The following is a 19,559-nucleotide window of genomic DNA, read 5'->3' as shown; positions in this document are numbered from 1 at the left end:
CATAAATGGCTGCAGAGCTCCTCCCCTTCCTGCAAAGCCAGGGCCTCCAGGCATTTCCTTCTCATCCCTCAGCCTCAGGCAGCTTCTCCTGCCCCCTCCTCCTCTGCAGGCAGCCCCCAGGCCCCTCTAGAGAATGAAGCAGCTCAGGCCCAGAGTCCCTTCATCACCTAAATATATGGCCTAATCCAGATGAGACTCAGATCTGTGAAGGGTTGGATTTCCATGGGCACAGGAGCTGAGGGAGGGTTCTCCTTCCGCGTGGGGCTTGCTTTACCACACAGCCATCGATGGTCGCCCAGGCCTGAGTCTGCAGCTGTACCTCCTCTCCATTTGGTTCATCCATGTGGTCACTTCATTTAACCACAACTGAGGAATCCCCAGCAGATCCTCGTGTCAGTCACCACGGAGGCATCTAGACCTGTGGGCAGAAATATGAGGGACATGAAGAGCCCAGTGGCCCCTGGCTGGTGGGGAGGGCTTAGCCTGGGGTGAGGACTGGGCAGAGCCCCTGAGTCCCACTCTTCCCACAGCCGCTCAGCCCTTTCCCCATTAAATGACAAAAAGTAAGCACTGACCTCCCTCTCCACACAGTCTTCATGTGGGGATCACCTTCACCTGGTGGCCATCAATCCCTAGGGCCCTGAAGCTTTGGGAAAGAGGAGGAGGCCTGGACCAAGCCCAGGGCCTGTCTCTGCTTCCGGACAGGGGCATAGGATGGCAGCTACCTCTGTGACTGTGCAGGGACATAGGAGCCTAGAAGGTTCTCGCCTGATGCACTAGAGCCTCTGTCCAGGAGAGGCCACATGAAGGGTGGTCTGGAGAACAACAGACACACGGGGGTGGGCAGTTCTCAGACTTGGGAGGGGCAGAGCTTGGTGGGTCCCGGGATCTGTGTGTGAGAAGAGCCTCCCATGCATAGGGCTGAGGACAGGAGCCCGGGTTAGTCCTGGGAGGAGGCCAGTGGGAAAGGCCCTGGCAGCCCCCACCCCGAGGCTGGGTGACCTGGGCCAGTGACTGGGGGAACAGGAAGAAGACAAAAAGCTGGCAGGAGAGTCCTGGGCAGCACAGCCAGGTGACAGGAGGAGGGGCATCTCTGCACACCTGGGCCCTCCTGCCTCACCCCTGCTGCAGGCTCCTGGCCACCAGACTCAGGCCCACGGAAGCTGGGAATGGAAGCAGCCAGGTGACTGTAATGGCTATGATCTAGCAATTATGCACCTCCTCCAGCAACCACGGGGACCCAGGACACAGTTATCAGGAATCCAGAGTCCTTTTCAAACTCACAGAGGTTGGTTTTTCTCTCCTTCATCAAGTGAACCTGACATGATTTAAGGGTGGCTGGAGGCTGAGCAAGCAAGTGAATGAAAGAGACAGTTGTGGGAGTGAATGGGGCTCAGAGGAAAACCCCAGGTGCAGAAGGGGAGCTGGCGTGGAGGTTATAACCCCCAGAGGCCTGAAGGAGGCAGCAGGAAAATCCTAGCTGAAGAATAAGGCAAGACAAAAAAAGAAAAGGCATTCAAATAGGAAAAGAACAAGCCAAAGCACCTCCCTTTGCCATGATGTGATTCCATACATAGAAAACCCGAAAGACGGCTGGTCATGGTGGCTCACACCTGTAATCTCAGCGCTTTGGGAGGCCAAAGTGGGTGGATCACGAGGTCAGGAGTTTGAGACCAGCCTGGCCAATATTGTGAAACCCCATCTCTACTAAAAATACAAATAAATTAGCAGGGCGTGGTGGCGGGCAACTGTAATTCCAGCTACGTGGGAGACTGAGACAGGAGAATTGCTTGAACCCAGGAGGTGGAGGTTTGGAGTGAGCCGAGATCGCACCACTGCACTCCAGCCCGGGCAACAGTGCAAGACTCCATCTCAAAAAAAAAAAAAAAAAGAAAACCCGAAAGACTCTGTCAAAAGGCTCCTGGAACTGATGCATGAATTCAGTCAAGTTTCAGGATACCAAATCAATGTACACAATCAGTAGCATTCTTATGCACCAACAACATTCTAGCTGAGAATGAAAGCAAGAACACGATCTTATTTACAACAGCCACAAGGAAAGTGCAGTACCTAGTAGTTCATCTACCTGAAGAGATGAAAGATCTTTACAAGAGAACTACAAAACACTGCTGAAAAAAATCAGAGGCAACACAAATAAATGGAAAAAATATTTCATGCTCTTTGATTGGAAGAATCAATATAGCTAAAATGGCCACACTTCCCAAAACAATTTATATATGCAAAGCTATCTCTATTAAAATACCAATATTATTTTTCACAGAATTAGAAAAATCTATTCTAAAATTTGTTTAGAGCCAAAAAAAAAAGAAAGAAAGAAAGAAAAAAAGAAAGGAAGCTCGAACTGTCAAAATCCTAAGCAAAAAGGACAAAGCCAGAGGCATCACATTGTCAGACTTCAAACTATACTATAAGACTACAGTGACCAACACAGACCAACACTGGTACAAAAATAGACAGTTAGATGAGTGGAACAAAATAGAGAGCGCAGAAATAAACCTGCACACCTAAAGCCATCTAATCTTCAACAGAAATGAGTAATGGGGGAAAAACTCCCTATTCGACAAATAGTGCTGGGATATCTGGCCAGCCATATGCGGAAGAATGAAACTGAACCCCTACCTCTTCCCACATATGTAAAATAACTAGATATGGATGAAAGATTTGAATGTAAGTACCAAAACTGTAATAATCCCGGAATATAACCTAAGAAATACCAATGCGGACATAGGGCCTGGCAAAGATTTCATGAAGAAGACACTAAAAACAATTGCAACAAAAAAAATTAACAAATGGGGCCTCATTAAACTAAAGAGCTTCTGCACAGAAAAAGAAACTAGCAACACAGTAAACAGACAGCCTGTAGAATGGGGAAGACTATTTGCAAACTATGCATCTGACAAAGGTCCAATATCCAGAATCTACAAGGAACTTAATTCAACAAGCAAGAACAAAAAACCCAATTAAAAAATGGGCAAAGACATGAGCAGACACTTTTCAAAAGAAGACATACAAGTATCCAACAAACATGAAAAAGTGCTCAATATCATTAATCATCAGATAAGTGCAAATCAAAACTGCAATGAGTTACCATCTCTTACCAGTCACAAAGTCAGAGATGGTGGTGAGGCTGCAGAGAAAAAGAAACAGACATTGTTAGTGGGAAAGCAAACTTGTTCAGCCACTATGGAAAGCAGTTTGGAGATTTCTCCAAGAACTTAAAATAGAACTACCATTCAATCCCACAATCCCACTACTCGGGATATATCCACAGGAAAAGAATTCATTTTATCCAAAAGACACCTGCACCAATATGTTCATTACAGTGCTACTCTCACCAGCAAGGACACAGAATCAATCTAAGTGCCCAGCAACAGTGAATTGAATGAAAAAAAATGTGGTACATAGACACCATGGAAATCTATGCAGCCATGAAACACAAGAAAATCATGTCCTTTTCAGCAACATGGATGGAACTAGAGGCTATTATCCTAAGCAACCTAATGCAAGAACAGAAAACCACATACTGCATGTTCCCATTGGAAACTAGCAGCTAAACATTGAATTCACATGAACCATGGACACTGGAGATCACTAGATGGGAGGGAGAGGAGAGGCACCTGGGCTGAAAAAAACACTTGTTAGGTGCCATGTTTACTGTTTGAGCGATGGGATCATTGGGACACCAAGCCTCAGCCTCCCAAAATCTACCCATGCAACAAACCTGTATGTGTACCCTTTAATCAATTATATAGGTTGAAATTAAAATGAATAAATAAAATAAAATGACATAAGGCCAAAAAAATGGGGTTAACTGACCAGAGTTAACCCCATTTTTCTCTGCACTATGAACCCAAACCCAGCTTAAAAAAATAAACTCTAGTCATTTAAAATAATCATAAGTTCTGTGATGCTGATTGTATAAAAATTATACATGAAAGTGCCAAAACCCTAAAATTAAACGCTGTATAATGGAATTACAGATGATTTCCATCTTCTTCTTTATACCCTTACTACTTTTTCTCCATTTTCAAGTGACATTTTTTGTTTATCCTCAGGAAATCCTTGCTGTCAGCCTTCTCCTTCTGCACCCACCTCCTCCTTTTCCACTGTCCACCTCAGCCCTTCCTCTGGCCTAGGACTGTGGCTTCCTTGGCACTGAAAGCACAAGAGCTGCATTCAGCCTCGGGAGAGAGAATGACGCAGGGCAGGTTGTGGAGGTGGTCTCGGCATTGCAGAGGAACCTAACAGCTCTGGTCCTCTATTGCAGACGGCTGCGTTTCTCCACCAGGTTAGCTACAACCAAGTCAACCTTGCCCCTTTCCTCATTGTTTTTTTTTTTTTTTTCTAATTCTTCCCTTCGTACTTAAACTTTATATTCTTCCTCCTAACATTTCTTTCTACTTCTTGTCTGCACAATATATGCTGATTTATTACGCCCAGAAAACACTGGACTCACCATGTCCATGACAGCTGCAAAGCCACAGTCTCCACTTGCTGAAGGGGCACGCTGGTCTTGGAGCCATTCAAAAGCCCCAGCCCCAGAGAACTCTATTTGGTCTATCTGGGACTCAGTGGAAAAGCTCCATTCATTGGGTTTGTCCTCCTTTGACCTGCTGAGGTCTCTTTCTAGGGGAAAAGCCAGATCTTCAGAGCATTGGCTAAAAGCAATCATTCCAACTATACAACCTCACCGTTTGCATGTAGGGCAAACAAGAGGCTAGTGGGAGAAATTGAGAGAAAGATTTGGGGAATGAGATGTGCATAGGGGCTGGCACGTGCCCAGGAAGCACCTGAGAAGGCCACATCTCTGATCTTTGGCTGACCTGGAGGTTCTGTGCGGGCAGGAAGTGGAGCTGCAGTGGTGACATCAGCTGCCCGCCTGAGTGCGGCAGGGGCAGGAGTGCACCACACACACAAAGCCCTCAGCACTGGGGAGAGACTCGCCGGCTCAAGGCATTGATGCAAACCTCTGTCCAACCTCACCTAACTGAGCAGAGACTCAAGCCTCAACATAGAGTCCCACCGTGTCCTCTGGCCCCCTCCAATCCTCTCGTCCCTCCCATCCTCCTGCTGTTATAGGAGATAAGAAAGAAATCATTTAGGTAGATAGGGTAAAAATAGTCCACGGCAAAAAATTTTCCTTCTAACAAAAAACAGCTCAGAAATTGCTCTCTTTCTAACCCCAAGCAGTTCAAAGAAATCACTTCTCTTCTAACAAGAGCAGTCTAGAAGATCAATAAAACACAAGTAAGCAACTCGGGCACACAACTTCCCCTGCGCAGGCGCCGCTCACCAGCAGCCTCAAAGCAAGCAGGAATGGGATCCGCGCGGAAGCCGCACTTTTGGAGCCCCAAGGACCCCAGCTGTAAGGTCACGTCTCGGCAGGAGCTGGGTGTAAAGTCCTCCCCGCGCCCAGCACCAGGCTGTAGGAGGAAACCATCAGCCGCCTCTGATTTCCCCTCACCTCAAGCTCGGAGATAATAACTGTCCCCTGCCGCGATGGGGTGGAGTTCTCACGCGTCTTCCAAAGGCAGTTCCGCCCGCGGGTCCCGCTAGGCGCCCGGTGCCTGCTGGTGGGACATCGGCGGCCGCTGGGCGCTCCCTGCGGGGCATCAGGCAATCGGGACGGGACCGGAGCTCGGGCGCAGACGGTGCCACGGGAGCGCGCAGAACCCTGAGGGATGCTGCCGGGCGGAACTGAAACCCCTCGCAATGAACTTTGAGGAAAGGCTTTAGCGGTTGAAATCCACAAAAGCCTTTAATATCCTCCCTGAGGCGCGCAAGAGACAAAAATGACTTTAGAGCGACTCCGACCCGATTTCATCACCCACAGACACACAAAAACCAACCACACAGAAAAAGTACAAAACCCAATCCGTGCTCTTTGTGAAACACTCATTTAAGACAATAAAGAAGCAGCGCTCAGATGGGAGAAAAGATTTGCAAAACAATGAAGTGAAATGATCTCCTGGAAAGGATGGGAAGCAGGAGACAGGAGGAGTGAAACGTCAGGACTTTTCTCCGCGCTTCGGCTCCACCCGGGTGACCAAAGCCCCACACGGCTCAGCGGGAAGCTCCGCAGTTTCCCCTGCGCGGCGAACACCGGTGTCCTCGGCATTCCGTCGCCAGGTCCCGGTCCCAAAGGCGCTGGCTGAGGGCCCCACGTTGATTCATTGCATTCTGGCTCTGCTTCTGCTGCAGGACTGTCCCTGGACGGCGCGAGCCGGTGAGTTCCAGGAATGGGTCGGAGAAAGAGGAGAGGGCGTCGCGGAGGACGGATCTTTCTGACCGCGCCGCACCCTTCTCAATTCCCCACGCAGGGCTCCTTCTGCCCCTGTCGCGTCCCTGGGACTGCTTCTCCCGGCCCGAGAAAACACAGTGGCGGAAACGAGACCAGAAACTAAGGGCAGTGAAACAGCTGGTCGCCTGGAATAAATGCTTGGTCTCGCGGCCAAGGAAATCAAGGACGGGGACGCAAATCCACGGAGTGAGATTGGAGCAGGAGTTTTATGGGAGAAAGGAAAGAACAGCTCTCTGTCACAGAGAGGTGTCCCGAACGGGTTGCCAGGTTGTAGTAAAAATGTCAGAGTTTTTATAAATGGGCCAGTGAGGAGGGGGTGTCTTATCTCCATAGGGCCCGAAGAAGCGGTTAGGACCAGGTGTGCCATCTGCATAGGGCAGAGTCTCTAGCAGCCCACACCCCATTCTTTGATCATACAGTCAGGCTCTTGGTTTGTGTTGCTCTGCGCTGCTTATCTGCCTGTGACAAAAGAGGATGAAGAGTTTCTGTGCCTGTTCCCAGGCACCTTCTTGCAGCTGCAGGCATCCCCACCCCATGCGCGCTTCCGGCTTCCCTATCTCAGTGTGCCTAAAGAAATGGACAGGGGCCAGGCGCAGTGGTTCATGTCTGAAATCCCAGCCCATTGGGAGGCTGAGGCCAGTGAATCACCTGAGGTCAGGATTTCGATATCAGCCTGGCCAACATGGTGAAACCCCGTCTCTACTAAAAATGCAAAAATTAGCTGGGCATGGTGGCGGGCGCCTGTAATCCCAGTTACTTGGGAGGCTGAAGCAGGAGAATCGCTTGAACCCGGGAGGCAGAGGCTGCGGTGAGCCGAGATGGCGCGACTGCACTCCAGCCTGGGCGACAATAGCGAAACTCCGTCTCAAAAAAAGAAAACAAAAGAAAGGACAGGAATGTGCTCATTGAGGCTCCGTTTCCATCTTCTGTATGTGAAGTTCGGTCATTATCCAGGAAGCTCCCCCTTCTGTGCCTATTATGTGCTCCTTCTGTGAGGTGCTTATCTGTGTTTTACAGCCTGATCTTCTAGGATGCTCTTTGTTAGAAGCCAAGTGATTTCTTTGAACTGCTTGAGCTTAGAAAGGGAGCAATTTCTGAGGTGCTTTTTGTTCGGAGGAAAGTTTTTTGACGGGGACTCTCTTTACCCTATCTACGTAAATGATTTCTTTCTATCTTCTATAACAGCAGGAGGATGGGAGGGACGAGAGGATTGGAGGGGGCAGAGGACACGGCGGGACTCTGTGTTGAGGCTGGAACCTCCACTGCGCCCTGGGGCTGAAGGAGCCTGAGCTACCAAGACACAGGCATGACCAGAGGTGAGGGAGGGGATGTCGCAGAAACAGGAGCACACACATCCCGGACAAACACAGATGCTCTGTTCCCACCGGCTCTCCACCACACAAACCCTCCCGCACTCCCAGGGCTCCCTGCCCTTAAACTTCGCCCTGCACTTGGTGCACTCACCTGCAACCAGGGGCCCAGCAGACGCTTCCCTCCCAATCCCCTCACCACCCACTGCCGCCAAACAGGTCACATCCTTTCACCTTCAATCTCAGCCCAGCAATGTCACCCCACAGGGCTCCTCCTAGTCATGCTGGTGTGCCTGTGCTCTCCCATCCTCCTCTCCCTTCTCCCTCCTGACTCTTCTTCCTCACTGCGCTTGCTTCTGCTCCACTCACTGTGGATTTCTCACGAGCCTCGAAACTGTGGGTGTCATTGTGTTTTCAGACCTTTCTCCTTAGTGTTCCCTCTCTTGAGAATTACTTTTCCTTTCCTCTCCCTGGTCTGTTTCTAGAAATCCATCAAAGCCACCTCCAATGCCAATGACCAAGCTTTTCGAACACTCAGCTATCAGTTTTGTTGAGTTCTCCAATGTTTTTCTCTTCTCTACTTCATTTATTTACATTCTAATTCCTATTCATTGTTCGTTTATTTTGAGTAGATGGCTTCTTTTTTGAGTTTCTTCAAGTGAAATATTAGGTTCTCAATTTGAGATTACTCCTTTGTTTCTTTTCTCTTTCTCAATATATTCACACTGACAGCAATGCATTTCCCTCTAAGGACTGCTTTAGCTACTTCTCATAAGTTATAATATGCTGTGTTTTTGTTTTAATTTATCTTATTTTCTGATTTTTTGTGATTTTCTTTTTAATCATTTAGTTTTAAAAGAGTGTTTCAGAAAAAATTTTTGTCTTAAACACCACATTGCTTGATATTATTAATTTCAGGCTGGGCATTGTGGTTCACACCTGTAATCCCAGTACTTTGAGAGGCCCAGATCAGAGGACTGTTTGAGCCCAGGAGCAAGACCAACCTGGGCAACAAATCAAGACCCTGTTTCTAGAAACACAGACAAAAAATCGTTAATAGCAATTTCAACTGTCTTTCTTTACTATTGGTGTGCTTTGTCTTTTTTATACTTTTACTTTCAACCGACTTGTATCTTTGGATCTACATTGTATCTTTAGATCATTTATAAAATGCATTCTGTCAACCTCTGCTTTTGCTTTTGAGTATTTAATAGTTTGAGAGGTAATGGAAGTATTGCTAAGGCAGAATTTACACCTGTCACCTTGTTCTTACTTTTCCATATGTATTTATTGTATTTTTTAGTAGAGACAGGGTTTCTCCATGTTGGTCAGGTTGGTCTTAAACTCCCAACTTCAGGGGATTTGCCCGCCTCAGCCTCCCAAAGTGCTGGGTTTACAGGCATGAGCCACTACACCCGGCCCCTTAATTATTTTTAAAATGTTACTTTCTTAGTGGTTTTCCTGTGGAATAGCAATTAATATCTTAATTTATCACAACCTAGATTGGATAAAAAGCAACTTTTTATCTTATTTTATGTTATTTTATTTTTGAAACAGGGTCTCACTCTGTGACCCAGGCTGGCATGCAGTGGAATGATCATAATTCACTGTAGCCTTGACCTCCTGGGCTGACCCAGGCTGGCATGCAGTGGTATGATCATAGCTCACTGTAGCCTTGACCTCCTGGGCTCAAGCAATATTTCTTACTTGGCCTCCCAAAGTACTGAGAGCAAAGATGTGTGCCTCATGCTTAATTTTAATAGGATGAAAAATCTCTTCTCCAGTATTGCTCTGCTCCCTCCTGCATTTTGTGCTGTAAAAATGATAAATATAAAAAGTATATGGTATGGGTCCTGGGCAGAATCATCCCACCCCCACCCCCACCTCCCTGACAAGATGCAGGTCCGAGTCCCTGGAACCTCTGCACTGGGTTACATGGAAAGGGGAATGAAGGCTGCAGGTGGAGCTGAGGTTGCTTATCATCTGTCCTGGAGATGGGGTAATTCTCTGGATTTCCCAGGGGTCCATTGTAACCACAGGATCTTTATACAGGAAGATGGGGACAGAAGAGGGAGAACAAGACAGAGGGCACCCTGAGGATCCAGCCTGGTGGAGCTCCATTTGAAGGTGGGGAAATGGGTCCTGTGTCATGGATGTGGGCAGCTGGAGAAGCTGGAAAAGGTGAGGAGGAGACAGGTTCTCTCCAAGAGCCTCCCAAAGAAACACAGCTCTGACAGCGCAGTGATGTTAGCCTCGAAAGACCATTCAGACTTCTGAGCTCCAGAACCATAGGAGAATTTAAGAAAATCAATGTGTGTTTTTGTTTTGTTTTGTTTTGTTTTTGAGTTAGAGACTCGCTCTGTCACCAGGCTGTAGTGCAGCGGCATGATCTCGGCTCAGTGCAACCCCGTCTCCCGGGTTCAAATGATTCTCCTGCCTCAGCCTCCTGAGTAGCTGGGACTACAGCCACATGCCATCATGCCTGGCTAGTTTTTGTATTATTAGTAGGACGGGGTTTCGTGATGTTGGCCTGGATCTCTTGACATCGTGATCTGCCCAACTCAGCCTCCCAAAGTGGTGGGATTACAGGCGTGAGCCACCGTGCCTGGATGAATGTATGTTGTTTTAAAACACTAAATTTGTAGTAATTTGTAACAACAGCTATTGAAAACTAATACAGTCTGATTTAAAGTGGTCCTTGCTTTAGGAAGAAAAAATTCAGGTGAAGAAGGTCCAGGATTGCTCAGGCAGGTGGAAATACTGCATTTTGAAAAAGATACTTTTACATTTAAAAATGGTTAAGATGGAAACTTTCATGTTACATGTATTATATCACAATTTAATTTGTGTGTGTGAACATGTGTGTGACAGAGTCTTGCTCTGTCACCAGTCTGGAGTGCGGTGGCACGATCATAGTTCACTGAAATCTCAACCCCCTGGGCTCAAGGCTTCCTCCCCACTCAAAGTGGGAGAGTGCAGGGCAGGGTAGTCTGAGCCTCCTGCTGGTCATCCTACACTTGCTGTTTCTTATGCCCTGGCAGAAGGCTCAGTAGTATTCACACTCCTGACTTTACCATCCCCTGCGGTAGATTGGTCCAGAGGCCGAGTGGGTCTTGGCTGTGAGTGCAACCGGGGTGAGTCATCCTGCCAGGTTTGGAAACTATGATATTCAGGAAACTTTTCTCATCATCCACCCCAATCCGGTCCCAGATGAGAGGAACAGTGAGTGCTGCAGCCAGGCTCCCTGCCTTCCCAGTGCTCCCAGCATCACATGAGTTCCTCCCCAGATGGTGTGGGGTCTGGGCTCTCTGTGTTCACCATGCTCTCACCATTGGCTCCCCATTTCACGGCCCTCCCAGCATCATCCCAGCCCCTCCAGGGTCACTGCCTGACCAGGTGGGGGTTGGGTGAAGAGGCAGAGGTCGGGGCAAGACCCCTGGTCCAGTTTGACTTTAGGTTCCTCTCTGAAACGTGACTGTATTCCACATCCTGTTCCTCCAGCAACCTCAGTTGAGATGATGTGTAGGGCAGTGTAGAATCAGGGCTGGTGATGACCAATTCCTGCCACCATGGCTTTTTAACTATATTGATTTTTCCTAAAACGGATAAACAGACTGGCAAGAAGTTATGGAAACACTGTTTTCTTTACTAATAGTGCAGACATGTGTACGTATCAATGCTGGTTTTTATAACAAAGATAAGCCCATAGGCACTCTGCTGCACGCAGATTCTATCCCAAAATAACAGTTTGAAGATCTTCCAAGACCCACACATACAGATTCTTTTCCTTTTTATCTCTGCACAATATTGCACAGAATGACTGCATCACAACAAATGTAACCAGTGTCTATGTGTCCATCTTCCCAGCAGTTCCTGCACAGATGCCGCTGAAGAGAGGTGCCAGGGAAGGGCAGAGAAGAGGCAGTCTGTCCCTTAACATAAGGCTGATTCTCTCGAACTGTGCGACCGGCAGAAGCAGATGTGTGTGAACTGGACACAGATTGAAGAATCTGCCCCTGTTGAGGTGGATGGGCCTGATTGTTGTCCCCCAGCGTCCTAAAACTTGTATGGACTTGGATAATGAGGAGGCTTGGGCTGAGATGTGAGTCCTGTTGGAGACTCCCTCTCTACCTCTCACCGTGGTCCCTCTCAAATACCCAACGGAATTCCAACTTGAAGGATTGCATCCTGGTGGAGCTGAACTTGCCTGCCAAAGATGTGTCCGACCTGCGTTCCTGGCTCCCTGGTTCAGAGACTACCTTTCTCAAGGGCTCTGTGCCTGTGCTGGGAAGGAAACAACCATGGGAAGGAAACAAATGTGTATAAACTGCTGTCAATAAATGACACCCAGCCCTTCCAGCTCAAAAAAAAAAAAAAAAAAAAGACACCCAGCCCTTCCAGCTCAAAAAAAAAAAAGAAAAAGAAAAAGACACCCAGCCCTTCCACTCAAAAAAAAAGAAAAAGAAAATGACACCCAGCCCTTCCAGCTCAAAAAAAAGAAAAAGAAAAAGACACCCAGCCCTTCCACTCAAAAAAAAAAGACACCCAGCCCTTCCACTCAAAAAAAAAAAAAGAAAAAGACACCCAGCCCTTCCACTCAAAAAACAAAAGAAAAAGACACCCAGCCCTTCCAGCTCAAAAAAAAAAAAGACACCCAGCCCTTCCAGCTCAAAAAAAAGAAAAAGAAAAAGACACCCAGCCCTTCCAGCTCAAAAAAAAAGAAAAAAAAAAAAGACACCCAGCCCTTCCACTCAAAAAAAAAAAAAGACACCCAGCCCTTCCACTCAAAAAAAAAAAAGACACCCAGCCCTTCCACTCAAAAAAAAAAGACACCCAGCCCTTCCACTCAAAAAAAAGACACCCAGCCCTTCCACTCAAAAAAAAAGACACCCAGCCCTTCCACTCAAAAAAAAAAAAAGAAAAAGACACCCAGCCCTTCCAGCTCAAAAAAAAAGAAAAAGAAAATGACACCCAGCCCTTCCAGCTCAAAAAAAAGAAAAAGAAAATGACACCCAGCCCTTCCAGCTCAAAAAAAAAAAGAAAAAAAAAGACACCCAGCCCTTCCAGCTCAAAAAAAAGAAAAAGAAAATGACACCCAGCCCTTCCAGCTCAAAAAAAAAAAAGAAAAAAAAAGACACCCAGCCCTTCCAGCTCAAAAAAAAAAAGAAAAAGAAAAAGACACCCAGCCCTTCCAGCTCAAAAAAAAGAAAAACAAAAAGAAAAAGACACCCAGCCCTTCCAGCTCAAAAAAAAAAAAGAGAATGAAATAAATATACTACTTTTTCAATTCATGTGAAATATTTTCTTAAACGGTGATTAAATTGCTAGGTCATGAATATTTCTTTCTTGGTCCTAACTACTTAATAAATACATTCTTCGGTATTTCTTTTGTTTTGGGGTTGTCTTGAAAATGTTACGGAGGCACCTTCTGGATTTTCCCTGGACCGCTCAAGGCCATATTCGCGGGCTCTGCCTCCTGCGGGGAATGCTCACTTCCTTGAAGCCAGGACTCATATGTCACCTTCTTTAGAGACCTTCCTGTTCAGACTACTGAGGACCTGGGAGGTCCCCTCCCAGTCTCCTTCCCACAACCTTGTTCCCCGCCCCCAGAATCATCTGTCACCTTCCTACACCCGATGCAATGCCCCTGCTCATTAGGTTCACCTGCTGTCCCCACTGGAGCAGGGATTTTGTCTGTTTTCCTCAGGGAAGCATCCGCAGCACAGCCCATTGTTGGTGCTGAGGCTGTACTTACCCTGTGAGTGAATAAATGAGAGGCAGTGATTGGGGCAGGGGCCTCTTTCCTGTCCATTCATTCACTACACTTTAGATGGTAACTTACGACATGGTGGGACCAGTGTTTTCTGGGCACAACAAATCAGTGTACATTGTGAAGTCAAGAAGTAGAAAGAAATGTTAGGTGGAAGAATATGAATTTTCAAGAAGCAGTTGGGAAGAGTGAGACAAAAACCAAACAAGAAAGGGGCAAGGTTGGCTTGGTTGTAGCTAACATGGTGGAGAAATGCAGCCGTCTGCAATGGAGACTGGGCGCTGTTAGACTCATCTGCAATGCTGAGACCACCTCCACAACCTACCCTGCATCATCCTCTCCTGAGGCTGAATGTAGCTCTTGTGCCTTCAGTGCCAAGGAAGCCATAGTCCCAGGCCAGAGGAAGGGCTCAGGTGGACAGTGGAAAAGGTGGTAGGTACAGAAGGGGACCCCTGTAAGCAATGAGTTCCTGAGGATAAACAAAAAATGTCACTTGAAAATGGGACAAAAAAGAAAGGTATAATAACAAGATGGCAATTATCCATAATTCCATTACACAGTGTTTAATGTTAGGGTTTTGGTATAATCATATGTAATTTTTATAACATTATGGTCATATACCTTACACTTATTTTAAATGACTAGAGTTTATTTTTTTAGAGCAGGGTTAGAGTTGATAATGCAGAGTTCTCTCTCACCCCTGTCAGTTAAACCCATTTTTTGTTTTTGCCTCATGTCATTTTATTTTCTTTATTCATTTTTAATTTCAACTCTTTTTATAGATTAAAGAGTACACGTGCAGGTTCGTTACATGGGTCAATTGTGGGAGGCTGCGGCTTGGGGTCCCAACTATCCCATCACCCAGACAGTAAAAGCGGTACCCAGTGGGTGGTTCTTCAGCCCACATGCCCCTCCTCCCTCCCCTGTCTAGTGATCTCCAGTGTCTGTGGTTCCCATCTTTATATTCATATATATTTAATGTTTAGCCCTCCTCTTATAAACGAGAACCTGCAGAATGCAGTTGTCTGTTCTGTTAAGTCACCTAGGATAATGGCCTCCAGCTCCATCCATGTTGCTGAAAATGACATGATTTTGTTGTCTTTCGTGGCTGCATAGATTTCCATGGTGCATACGTACCACGCTTCCTTCATTCAGTCCCCTGCTGCTGGGCACTTAGATTGGTTCTGCGTCCTTGCTCATGAGAATAGCACTGCAATGAACATATGGGTCTATTTGATTGAATAAATTATTTTCCTTTAGATATATCCCCAGCAGCAGGACTACTGGGTTGAATGGTAGTTCTATTTTACCTTCTTTGAGAAATCTCCAAACTTCTTTCCGTAGTGGCTGGACTAGTTTGCTTTCCCAGCAACAGAGTCTAAGTGTTCCTTTTTCTCCTCGGCTTCACCAACATCTGTGGTTTTTTTGACTTTTTAAGAATTGCCGTTTTGGGCCGGGCGCGGTGGCTCACGCCTGTAATCCCAGTACTTTGGGAGGCCGAGGCGGGCGGATCACGAGGTCAGGAGATTGAGACCATCCTGGCTAGCACCGTGAAACTCCGTCTCTACTAAACATACAAAAAATTAGCCGGGCCTGGTGGCGGGCGCCTGCAGTCTCAGCTACACGGGAGGCTGAGGCAGGAGAATGGCGTGAACCCGGGAGGCGGAGCTTGCAGTGAGCCAAGATTGCGCCAATGCACTCCAGCCTGGGAGACAGCGAGACTCCGTCTCAAAAAAAAATAAAAATAAAAAATAAATAAAGAATTGCCGTTTTGACTGGTATGAGATGGTAGCTCACTGTGGTTTTGATCTGCATTTCTCTGATGATGATTCATATTGAGCATTTGTTCATGTTTGTCCGCCACTTGCAGGTCTTCTTTGAAAAGCGTCTGTTCATGTTCTTTGCTTACTTTTTAATAGGGTTTTTTCTTCTTGCTTGTTGAGTTGTTTAAACTCCTTGTAGATTCTGCATATTAGACATTTGTGAGATGCATAGTTTGCAGATATTTCTCCTACTCTATAGGCTGTTTACTGTGTTGCTAGTTTCTTTTGCTGTGCAGAAGTTCTTTAGTTTAATGAGATCCCATTTGCCAATTTTTGGTTTTGGTTCCAGTTGCTTTTGGTGTCTTCATCATGAAATCTCTGCCAGGTCCTATGTCCAGAGTGGTATTTCTAGGTTATCTTCCAGGATTTTTATAGTTTTAAGACGTACATTTAAATCTTTAATCCATGTTGAGATATTTTACATATATGGTGAAAGACAGGGGTTCAGTTTCATTCCTCTGCACATGACTAGCCAGTTATCCCAGCACCATATGTTGAATAGAGAGTCTTTCCCCATTGCTTATTTTTGTTGATTTTGTTGAAGGTTAGATGGCTGTAGGTGTGAAGGTTTCCTTCTGAGCTCTCTATTCTGTTCCACTGATCTAAGTGTCTATTTTTGTACCAGTACCATTCTGTTTTGATCACCATAGCCATATATATATATATATATATATATATATATATTTTTTTTTTTTTTTTTTTTTTTTTTTGAGACGGAGTCTCGCTCTGTCACCCAGGCTGGAGTGCCGTGGCGCGATCTCGGCTCACTCCAAGCTCCGCCTCCCGGGTTCACCCCATTCTCCTGCCTCAGCCTCCCAAGTAGCTGGGACTACAGGCGCCCACCATCACGCCCGGCTAATTTTTTTGTATTTTTAGTAGAGACGGGGTTTCATCGTGTTAACCAGGATGGTCTCGAACTCCTGACCTCGTGATCCGCCCGCCTCAGCCTCCCAAAGTGCTGGGATTACAGGCGTGAGCCACCGCGCCCGGCACCATAGCCGGGCAATGTGATGTCTCTGGCTTTGTTCTTTTTGCGTATGATTGTTTTGGCTATTTGGGCTCTTTTTTAATTCCAGAGAACTTTTAGATTAGATTTTTCTAATTTTGTGGAAAATGACATTGGTATTGATAGAGACAGTGTTGCATCTATAAATTGCTTTTGGAAGTATGACCATTTTAGCTATATTGATTCTCCAACCCATGAGCATGAAATATTTTTCCATGTATTTTTGTTGTCTCTGATTTTTTCAGCCATGTTTTGTAGATTCTGTTTCCACACAAAATCTAGCAGAATCACTCATTTATTACTCCATATCATGGAGGAAAAATGATATAACATTAATTCTCTACTGGGTAATACAACAAAATTCCAAACTCAGTAGGTTTTTGGTACATAGAACTCTTTATTTAAATATCAGTAGAGGGCAACAAATTACTAAAGGAAACTCATTAATATAATTTTTTATTAGATATTTAACAAATTATCTTTCAGGACATGGAAAGAATCCCTGGAGGTCTGAAGTCTAACATGATTGTTTTACTGACAATATCATTTGGAAGAACAGGGTCATCATTCAAAGAAGTAACTGATTTTCTAAACAAAAGCAAAAGAAAGAAAATGTTGACATATCTTATTTAGTCAGCCAGAACTTTAAGTGCAAAAATTCCATCAGGTAACACCAAGAGAAAATAGCATAAGATGTTAGGAATAACCGGTGGTAAAATTGTTGACAAAAGGGATCAAGGCAGTGAATGAGCTATTGGGTCCATGGTGTCATCATGATCTGCTGGAGGCCTCTGGACATACACAGTACGTGGTGGGCAGGTGGCCAGCCAGAAGGGAAAGTTTGATCGAGACCGTGCTCACAGGGGCTTTTTGGTTTCATCTTCAGCCTTCAGAAAGGATACAAATGTTGGTTTAAATGGTGAAGGAGAACCCGGATCACTTTTCCAGGTCTGGAAACTCAGTGACACCCGCAGTTTCAAGGCTGGTGAGAAATCCACAAGGAGGGGAGCAGAAGCAAGTGCAGTGAGGAAGAGGAGTCAGGAGGGAGAAGGGAGAGGAGGATGGGAGAGCACAGGCACCCCCAGGAGGAGCCCTCCATGAGGGGGTCTTGTTCACACTCACTCAAACACACACACACACACACACACAGACACTGGACTGATTAGATCTGAACTCAGGACAGCTACCTTTGTTTTCTTCCCACTTACTTGTTCTCTTCAGCATTTTTTCCCAGTGTATCAAGAATTCCTCAAGCCAAGTTTCCGTCTCCCAGTGAAATCTTCTGGAAGAACATGGCCACATCCCTGTTCTTCTCCCACTTCTCTTTCATCTTCTTGACTCCAGGATGAAGCACTGTCTACTTTCTGTTGTTTGGGTCAAAGAGGAGGAACCTCTGTCCATTGAAGAGAAACTGCCAAGATCCTCTGCTGTGTCCATGGGCTTTGTGCTCACAAGACATCCTGGCCTGCAGGGTGAGAGGCTCTGCCCCTTTGGAAAGAGATCAGCTCTGATCTTGACAAATTGTGAGCCCCACCCTGCTTCCTTTCCTGTCTGCTGCCCTTGCTCCTTGACCTCTCAAGTGATATAAACCTGATTTATTTGTTTATTTTTAATTAATTAATTATTTTTTTAACTAGGCTAAGAACATTATTAACCTTTGTTTCAAACTTTATTCTCAGGCTTCTTTGGCTTAATTAGCTGCAAAGAATAAATTGTGTATATGCAAAAACTGAAAAGAGCTCAGTGTCCAAGAGGCTTGGGCTCAAAAGTATTAGACACCTAGATTTTATCACATCCATAAACAAACATTTCTTAAAAAGCAGTCATAATATAAAATAGCAGTTCCTAGTAACTTATTCAAGTTTTATCTTCAGAAGTTGACTCAATTCAGTTTGCCTCATCCTTGAAAGCCTCATAAAAATTCTCCACAAGATCTGGAACTTCATCATCATCATCCTCTCCAGTTGCAAATGGTGCTGTTCCATCCACAGATTGTTTGGGCAGAGCTTCAGCCAGTCTCCTTAAACTAGCCAGACTGTCTACACCAAGCTGGATTAAGATGCTGGGTAGCATTTCTGTCAGCTGCTTTGTCTTAGCATGGCCTGTAATGGTGAAAGTGTTCCCTGCCAGAGATGTCTGAACTTCAGGGTTGTTAAAGTGGATCACTGTTCCTTGGTTTGTAAACATATTCACCTCTTCAATACCAGAGATATTGTTTACCCCTAACTTCTTTAAGGAGAACTGAAAGTTTTTATCTTCTGCTGTGGCTGTTCTATGAACCACCTTCTTCTTTCTGCAAGCAGGTCCTTTCCCACCAATGCACACTTGTGCCTGCAGTTTGGCAAGTTTTTCCTGGTTCGTGATTGTTTCTTTCATCTTGTCGGAGTGGATAAGGGGCCGCATGGGAGACTAGGGTTGGTGTTCAGGTTGTCTCAGGTGGACCAACTGAGATTAGGCACACACAAGCTGGGATGCCCACCTGATTTATTTGTTGCATGAACACATTAAAGGTTTCTAAGCTATTATAGTGTCTGCTCCCTCCTGTCCTGGGCCATTTTAAACTTACCACTGGATATTCAATTCTCCACTCGAACGTCAGGCAGTTGCTCTTTGAGGAAATCCACCATGTCTCTTAGTGTTTCAGTCTGTTCTTCCCAGGCTTTTGTGACATTGACTTTCTTCCCCAGAGAAGCAAAGGCTTTGGCCTTATGGCTAACACAGTCATAGTGAAGAAAAGGCCTTTTATCCACCTGATCTTGAACTTCACACCATCGTGGTTCAGGTCTGAACTTAGGAGTGACGATGAAGTCATAGCAAAGGCAGTGTGTGTGTATGGAAGAAAAACACAGGAGGGGGATGGTGTGGCTGGGAGTGGAACCTGAGACCCCTCCTCCCCCTTATGGTGACTGCAAGTGAAGGCCTTTGAGGGGCTGGGCTGGCAGAGCAAGACGTGCCCCAGCTAGGACTGTCATGTCAACTAGTTAAAGACTAGAGTGTCTCCTTTGCTAGAGTACAAGGCGAGGAAGGTCCCTGCAGCCATGAAACCACATGTCCTCCCAAAACATATCCCACCTGGGCTCTGCCCACATCGGTCAGCACATGACCTTGTCATGTCAGCAGCCAGGCCTGCTGTGGCAGGAAAAGGCCTGGATGAGGAGGATCTTCCTCAGCAGCCCCTGGGGACTGCAGGAGGTGGGAGAGGGTGTGGGGGCTGCCCTAGGATGCTCCAGCACAGTGGGTGGGGTGAGGACAGAATCCAATTTGTATCATAAAGAGATTATTGTCATAGTCACAGGATTTAACACATTGGCAAAGCCCCTGGTGATGC

General features: G+C 46.1%; 1 pseudogene, besides 2 other annotated features; it reads right to left on the bottom strand.

The window, feature by feature from the left end:
* Positions 4,964-5,547: an enhancer, noted in NCBI's record as "H3K27ac-H3K4me1 hESC enhancer chr6:150312121-150312704 (GRCh37/hg19 assembly coordinates)". NCBI's record gives its function as "activates a minimal SCP1, AML or CMV promoter by ChIP-STARR-seq in primed H9 embryonic stem cells {active_cell/tissue: H9 hESC(primed)}" and the evidence as "EXISTENCE:reporter gene assay evidence [ECO:0000049][PMID:30033119]".
* Positions 5,708-5,767: a silencer, noted in NCBI's record as "silent region_17673". NCBI's record gives its function as "represses an Ori minimal core promoter by ATAC-STARR-seq in GM12878 lymphoblastoid cells {active_cell/tissue: GM12878}" and the evidence as "EXISTENCE:reporter gene assay evidence [ECO:0000049][PMID:35858748]".
* Positions 17,843-18,706, bottom strand: BTF3P10 (basic transcription factor 3 pseudogene 10; annotated as a pseudogene).

Source organism: Homo sapiens, chromosome 6 (assembly GCF_000001405.40).
Source record: "Homo sapiens chromosome 6, GRCh38.p14 Primary Assembly".
NCBI classification, from domain to species: Eukaryota; Metazoa; Chordata; class Mammalia; order Primates; family Hominidae; genus Homo; species Homo sapiens.
The sequence above is the reverse complement of the archived record's forward strand: the minus strand, read 5'-3'. Positions and strand labels throughout refer to the sequence as shown.